Source organism: Homo sapiens, chromosome 11 (genome assembly GCF_000001405.40).
Source record: "Homo sapiens chromosome 11, GRCh38.p14 Primary Assembly".
NCBI classification, from domain to species: Eukaryota; Metazoa; Chordata; class Mammalia; order Primates; family Hominidae; genus Homo; species Homo sapiens.
The window spans coordinates 111343633-111352067 of NC_000011.10; the positions used below are offsets into that span (position 1 = coordinate 111343633).

General features: G+C 37.6%; 1 non-coding gene across 1 annotated transcript, besides 1 other annotated feature; it reads left to right on the forward strand.

Annotated features, from left to right (window-relative positions):
• Positions 3326-3445: an enhancer, noted in NCBI's record as "active region_5505". NCBI's record gives its function as "activates an Ori minimal core promoter by ATAC-STARR-seq in GM12878 lymphoblastoid cells {active_cell/tissue: GM12878}" and the evidence as "EXISTENCE:reporter gene assay evidence [ECO:0000049][PMID:35858748]".
• Positions 4125-4192, forward strand: MIR4491 (microRNA 4491). Its single transcript, NR_039712.1, has one exon. It is a non-coding gene; the product is annotated as a microRNA 4491 (primary transcript).
• The last annotated feature ends 4243 nt before the right edge of the window (positions 4193-8435 follow it).

The following is an 8435-nucleotide window of genomic DNA, read 5'->3' on the forward strand; positions in this document are numbered from 1 at the left end:
GTTTCTATCATACCTGTGAGCTGTTTTTATTTATTTATTTATTTATTTATTTATTTATTTATTTATTTATTTTCAGACGGAGTCTCGCTCTGTTGTCCAGGCTGGAGTGCAGTGGTGCAATCTCGGCTCACTGCAACCGCCTCCTCACGGGTTCAAGAGATTCTCCTGCCTCAGCCTCCTGAATAGCTGGGACTATAGGTGCCTGCCACCACACCTGGATTGCCTGGCAAATTTTTTTTTTTTTTTGTATATTTAGTAGAGATGGGGTTTCATCATGTTGGCCAGGCTGGTCTTGAACTTGTGTCCTCAGGTGATCCACCCACCTCGGCCTCCCAAAGTGCTGAGATTACAGGCATGAGCCACTGTGCCTGGCCAACTGTTTTTAAATTTTAAAAGTTTAAGATTCAAGGCCTAATCTTCTGCTTATGATATGTCATCAGTGGACATTTCATGTATATAACCATGTAATAATGGAACACAGCAGTGAACGGATGCATAGCAGTCTGAACTCTTCCCTGTGTATTAGCGCTGAGTCACTGCTGGGATCTGGCAGGGCTCCTCAAAATCCCTGAGCCTCACTAGGATCTCCGGCCTGCCTCTTGGTCTTCAAGTACACAGACCAGAAAGTCACTGTTCCTGAGAGGTGAATAGGGCCAAATGATGCAACCCTGAAAAAGCTTTCCTCTAACTTACTTTCCCAAGGCAGAGAGAATTTCTCTAGAAATCAGGTCAGCCATGTTATTTAGGCATTTTTATTGCATCTTTTCCCCAAGGCCCTGGGACTCTGTGTTGGTATATACACAAAGGATTACACTATTTTTGTTTAGTAAGATGGCTTGCTGATTTCAGTTTACAAGGTGAGAACATGGATATGTAAGTCTGAGTCATTTGGAAAAACAAAAGACAATCACTTTTAGAATAAAGAGAAATACCTATTTAGAATTTTCTCTGTAAAAACATCACATTGATCACATCTTTCCATCTTCTGAAAGGCATTTTAAACCAAATCTACAGATTAGAAAATTTTGATAGATAACTTATCAGAACTATATTTTGTGTTGAAACTGACCAAAATGCTTAATACATTTACTTTTAGTCTTTTAAATATTCTGACTTGTGTTAAATATGTCAGGAAACAAAGAAGTAAGGCAACACTCTCTTGACTTGTGAAGTGTCCAAGCTCTGGGCTGGACGTAGTAGTTCCTCACTAAGCATTTGTTGAATCGGTGAATAATATATCCCCAAACAAGGCCTAAAAAAGGAGCATAATGAAAATAAAGCTGCCACAATTGGGCCCCTTGATTTCGTAAAGCACCCAGGCATCATCTTGCATCAAGTACTTTTGCAGACACAATCTCAAAATGTCTCATTCTAAGAAATGGGCAAATGATACTCTCTTTGATTGATGGAGAAAAAGAATCTGAGCCCAAGATGGCATAGCAAACTCAGAATTCTAATTGCAACTTGCAAGATCAGAACACCCAAAAAAAAGCCCCTGCACACAGCCATGCTGCTGCCTCTGCTGACCTATACATTGGTTATAAGTCAACTGAGGGACAAAGTTCAAAAGAGACCACAAAAGTACCAGAAGGTAAGAATTCTGGCTATAATCTGTCTGTATCCATTAAATATGTCTATTTATGTAGATTCATATTTATTCCTCTATCTACTGAGTGTGTATACTGTGGGTTCAAAACAAAATTACTTCATTTGGTAGCAAAAACCATGAGGTTTGGAAATTGATACATAGGCAATCAGCACAGTAAGATGAAAGTTTAGCATGCCATTAGGTTACTAGAGCCTATATATGATTTTGAAGAGAGGCACCACTAACCATCCAGATTCTAGATCACAGGGGCACAGAGCAACCAACACGCTGGCAGAAAATATTGCCCTTCTCTCTGCATATCCACTCTGAATTCAGAACTGGCTAGATGTCCCAAAGCACACACATGAAACTTTCACATCCACTTCTCTCTGTCTCCTCCTCTTGGAGTGAATTCTCCCATTATATAGACCGCTGAGTTACTATGATCTGAGGCACTCCAGCTGGGAACATTCCAACCATCCAGTCTTCTTCATCCATAGTGTCTGCCATGACAGAAAGACACTCAACAAACACTTGATGTATTGATGTGAGCTAAGGCTTGATAAAATAAAAATAGTAGTCATCCAAATGGCCACCAATAATGTCAGTAGCTATGTGGCTACAGGATTAAAAGAACGAACATTGAACATGCTGGATTTGAACACCAGCACTGCCATTTACTGACTATGTAAACTTGGACAAGTGACTTAACCTCTTTAAGTCTGTTTCTTCTTCCTATACTTGGGAATTAAAGTAGTGCATCCCTTATTTGCTTTCTGAGAGGCTTAAGTGAGATCGTGGTAACATCTCCTTAGCAAATGTGAGATGTAAAGCATCTGTGTTTATATCTACCACTCTACTTGTTTTACTATGTTATAACCTTCCATTTGCCCCAATAACTCTGAGTTTCTTGTGATCAAGGATGCACCTGACTTTTCTTTGAATTCCTTAGCAGGTAGCACAGTATGCAGCACATGAATGCTATAGCACATTGTAAAGGAAGCAAGAGTCTCCATTCTCATCTACCAGAAGTTGGTGACAATCTTCTTTAGGCTCCTGAGCCTCAAGTCCTCCAGCTCTTCCAGCTACTGCAGACACCAAAACCTTTCTCCACTGAAATAGGCAGAATCGAAAATAGGAAATAAGGACACTAGTTGTGGAACACTAGTTCTTATAATTAGGAAAAGCAGATTTATCAGTCCTATATGGCTCGTTCTTTAAATTTTGGTTTGGCTTGAATGTCATAAAGCCCTTTGCCCAGGGAGGCGATGAGTAGACTTCAAATAAAGTCTTAAATTTGGGGTTCTACCATAGTTGCTGTCTCCATTATCTTTTCACCTGACCCAGCTTGCCCCATATTTGAATATGTCAATCCACTACTGAGGTTTAAAAGTACACAGGTGAGACAAGGGGCAGATGCCTCCGACATCTTGCTATTTTCTTTATGTTTCATTCTTGTATTTGCTTATGGGTCTACACACATGAAAAGCAAGTCGTCAAGCTGTCAGATAAAAGACATTTACAATCACTTTAGCTGATACCTCCTTGCTGAGTCAGTCTACTCTAAAGACCTCCTATAGTGACTGCTAAGACCACTGGGCTTTCACTCTCTAATGAAGAGAGTAAGAATTACCATAACCCTGCCTGGTTTAGTAAGGGGGAAAAAAAACTTCTAATTGAATAGGACAGCATCCATGCTACATGCCACACACAAGTTGCCTCTGAGAACTCTTTCTTAGCATTCAGACTCAACCACAGTCCCACCCACCACTGGAGGGGAAAGGTAGATGTGTGGTGGTTCTCAGCTTTCACCGCACATTGGAGTCACCTGGAAGAGCTTTAAAAATTCCTGATGCCTGCATCCACTCCCAGCAAGTCCATTTTAATCAGCCAAAGGCACAGTCTGGACACAGGGATTTTTCAAATTCCCAAGTGATTCTAATGTGCAGCCAAGTTTGAGAACTGCTGTTACAGATTTCCACCTAATGGGCGTGGGCGGGGAAAGACAACATCTGGATCTTATGAAAAGTGTGTTTTCTTCCTCTTAAGGTTTTCCCAGATGAGTTAACACTATCATATTAATATGAGTGTCACCTTAGGATAGTTTGGATAAAGAAAACTTTTAATGAGAAGCGGATTTTAGTTGTAGGAGAGCATATAAAGATGGTGTATCTCATGCTACTGCCTGACAAACACCAGGATGGCCCCCTGGCAGAACCATTGATGCCCCTGGACCCAGTCCCATCTTAGAACAAATAATGTCAGGGTTCCTCAGGCCAGAGCCAACTTCTCTCCTGTGGTCTCCAGACGGGATTTGAGTGAGGAATCTATTAAGCAAGAATTGCTTTTATAAGCTCCAAAGAGACCAAAGTAGGACACATGTGTCTTAGGGACCACATGAGGCAATCCATTGGAATGCGAAAAGAAACTTCTAATTTATTTTAAAAAAGAAAAAGAAGTAAAAGAAAAAATAAGCAAAGAAAAAGGAAATTAAGATTTATTTGTATTTGAAAATACATATAAATAATAAACCTGGACATTTGGTCACACCAGTCCACATTAACGTGGACCAGACAATATTAATGTGGACTGGTGTGACCAAAAGTCCAGGCTTGCCCCAGACTGAAGGATATATTAGAACAGGACTTTCAATGTTAAAGCCAAGAAATTCCCAGGCAAACCAAGATGAGTTGGTCACCGTAGTGCTGGTGCTCCCCACGCTTTAGTTATGTGTGACTCATGGTTCTGAGAGTGTCCTGAGGGACAAGAGGAAGTTATGCATGGAAATGGGGGGTAACAGTGATGCCCTCAGTGAATTCACTTCCATCATATTGCAACATATTGAGATTTAAGGATGATATCAGTGTGGTTAATTTTATGGACCCAACATCTCTAAATGTACAGTCTTTATAATGATATGAGACCCTTTTGTGCCATAAAAAGAATCACTGATTATCTCTTGACTAAAGACACCCAACGAACTGTGAAACCTAAAAATGAATCACATATAGATAATTAAATCAATGAATTATAGATAATTAAATTAAGCATATATAATTAAAGCAATGACATATATAATTAAATTAATCGTATATAATTAAAGCAATGAATTATATATAATTAAATTAATCATATAATTAAATTAATGAGTTATATCATTAAATTAAATTAATTATAATTTAGATATTAAATATCTATTTACTTAATACAAATACAAGCACACTAAATTTGCTGATCTTTTTTGGTTGATAAGTTGGTTGTCCAAAATACGTTACCTGCAGATTTTTTTAAGTAGTAAACACAATTTGTACTTAATCCAGCCCATCAAGATCAAGATAACATTAATGCTTTTTGAAATTCATGCAATGAGGGGAACATTTAGCAAGTGAAAATTTAGTAGATGGTTAGGAATGTTTCCATCATGTGATATTGTTGCTAACAACAATATAGGTGTGTGTTACCCATAAAAACTTCCATATCTTCAGCCTTTTTAAAAAATATGTAGAAGCAGAATTTTTTAGGTTGCTGAAAATTTTTCCAAATAAAGAGTTTGAGTGGTTTTAACTCAATGGGTTAAAAAGGCAACTCCTTCAATAAGTGTGTAAGACCAGTTGACATCAGCTAAGGTGGAAATTTGCTGACCAAATTTTAAAATAACACCTTTGCATGACTGATGGAAGACATTTTAAAATAACTTTTGTAATTTATTTAGCATAATCAATGATATACTATTTTTATTTGGATCTAAACATCTTTGTATGGTATCTTTTTCAGCTATGACAAAACACCGAAATCAATTGAAGTTAAACCCAGATCTTCAAATCAGTATGTCACAAAGATGCTCCTTCTAGATGTTATTTACAGTTAATGAGGTCAAATGAATTTTTGTAGTCAATAAATAAAATAGTTAAAATATTTATTTTTATATTTACCTCATCTTTTTAAATTCCTATTATTGTGAATGTTTTATAATACATACAATTAGCTATATGTTTGTGGGATATACAATTTATAAATAACTAAATATACATATATAAGAATGGACACTCATACTGAAAAGAAATCACTGAGCTAGAAAACTATTTCAAAGCAGACATCTATAATAATCCAAGATGCCTGCCTAGCCCAGAGTTGGCACTCAATAAATATGTGTTGATGGCTAACACATTTATGAAAAACATGTTCAACATCACTAATCATTAGAGAAATGCAAATTAAAACCGCAATGAGATATCATTTCACACCTGTCAGAATGGCTATTATCAAAAAGACAAAAGATAGCAAGTGTTGGCAAGGATGTAGAGAAAAGGAAACCCTTGTACACTGTTGGTGGGAATGTAAATTAGTACAGCCATTATGGAAAACTGTACGGATGTTCCTTGAAAAGCTTAAACTAGAATTACCATATGATCCAGCAATCTCACTTCTGGGTACTTACCCAAAAGATTTTAAATCAGTGTGTCAAAAACACATCTGCACTCCAATGTTCATCACAGCACTATTCACAATAATCAAGTTATGAAATCAACCTAAGTGCCCCTCAAGCAATGAATGGATAGAGAAAATGTGGCATATATACATAATGGAATACTATTCAGCCTTTAAAACTAAGGGACTTCTATCACTGGCAACAACATGGATGAATGGTGAACATTATGCTGAGTGAAACAAGCCAGACACAGAAAGACAGATACTGCATGTTTTCCCTTATATGTGGAATCTAAAACAATCAAACACGTAGAAGCAGAGAGTAGAATGGTAGTTATAGAGGCTGGGGTATGGGGGAATGGAGAGATGTTCAAAAGGTACAAAGTCTTAGTTAGAAAGGAGGAATAAGTTTTTTTTTTGAGATCTATTGCACAGCATGTTGAATATAATTAATAATAATGTATTGTACATTTCAAAATTTCTAAGAGAGTAAACTGCAAATGTTCTCTCCACAAAAAATAAGTATTGGAGATAATGTATATGTTAGCTTGATTTAAGTATTTCATATTGTATTCATAAATTATAACATCAATCTGTAAATTGTATCCCATAATATATTGTATTATATTCATACCCCACAAACATATTTAAATTGTCAACTTTCAATAAAATAATTTTTTTTTAAATCTGTGTTGAATGAATGAATGAAACACCTTCCACAGCAGCCACAGCTGTAGAAGAACTGACAAACAGATTAACATCACCAGCTTATGAATATTTCTACTCAAGCTTTCAGAAAAAACATCTGCCAGGCATCATGTCTCTGTCCATCCAATAAAGGAGACTTCATTATAATCAACTTGCAATCATCTATATCAATATTTAGAAGCAGTGGACAGAGAATCCCCCCGGTTAATTCAATTCAACAAGAAATTATTGAGAGAGTCTCATATTTGACACTCAAATGAAGTAAATTAATGCAAAATAAGTTATCTATGGTTTCTGATTTCAAGAAATTTGTGTTTAGCTTTAGAACATGTCTTCAGATTTCCACTTAGAGATGAGTGCAACCTGATGTTCAGAGAATTTGAGCCACTTGGTCATGTGATTTTGTTCTTTTCCAGATGTCTATCTTCTTCATCTCAGCCACATACTTGTCTCCTTGCTAGCCTGTTTTATGCTGGAATTGGACAGCCTCATGGATCAGAATCTTGTAAAGCACTAATCTACATCACACTGGCCATGCTCTTCTTCAAGTTGCAGATCAAGTTTTTCATGCCTCTACCTCAAAAGAGAGTAAGGCAAATGCATTTTTAATAGATCTTCCCTTTCACTTGAGCCTCACTAAAGCTGAAGATAAAACCTCAAACCCTTTCCTTCCATGTCATTTTTCTAGGTTCTGGTTTTCAGGGAGAGTAAGCCAAAAAGACAATGGTGCTGGTAATCTAAAGAAGGCTAAATAACTGGATGTACTCTCTCCTCCAAAATCTGGAAATAAGGCTCATAGCAGAATAGTGTAGATAATTTTAAAACAATTACTCCAACGAAGATTAACAATGTAGGCAGTGAGCTCAGAGGCCTTTAGAAACTCAGAAAATCACCAGGAAAGGGAGACCCCTTCCAAACTGTAACTCACTCCATTGACTGATCTTGGAGGGGACTAATTGGCTTCTGGAATTTCCATTCCGTGGTGATGTCTGGCCCTATGAGATGGCTTCCTTAGGTCATGGTTCCTGCCTGATGTCACATGCTCCTGGATCCTGATTGATGGATTTTCAGAGCCTGCTATGGAAATGCCCGTGGTAGAACTTATCCCTGAACACTCAGCGTCATGAGAAGTTACTCATGATGGCGTGAATAACAGGAAGAGCAATCAAGTTAAAAGATTTCCCTCTCTCCTCAGCTCCCCACTCTCCTGGACAACAAGCCCCCTAGCCACGCGCATGTCCTGCTTGGGAGAACTGGACTGCAGGCACGGTGGGGACTGGTTTTATCTTCTTCTGCAACAGATCAATTTGCAAAGTCAACAAGACTAGTGTTAAGTTCCTTCCTCTAATCACACTGTCTAACATGGGACTGAAAGCTTAGGGGGATCAACTTGATAAGAAATGAAACACTTTGGCACAGAAAAGTCTCTACAAATCTTTATGAAAATGTTTCCATCTTAGCAGAGTAACTCGGGAAGAAACCCAGATGGACTACTACCAAGACATTTGACCTCAAGATAAGAGAAAAAATAGACCATTTATCTTAGCAAACACGTAAAGTACTATATTTCTTTGCTAGTTTTTGCCAACTTTAACTCCTTTACGGAGGTTGCTTCTGCACCCTCTCAAATGGTACGCTGAAAAATCTTGCATAGTGTCTTTTTTTATGGAAAACCAGGGCTTTTAATCAAATAGGACTGAGAGCCCTGCCC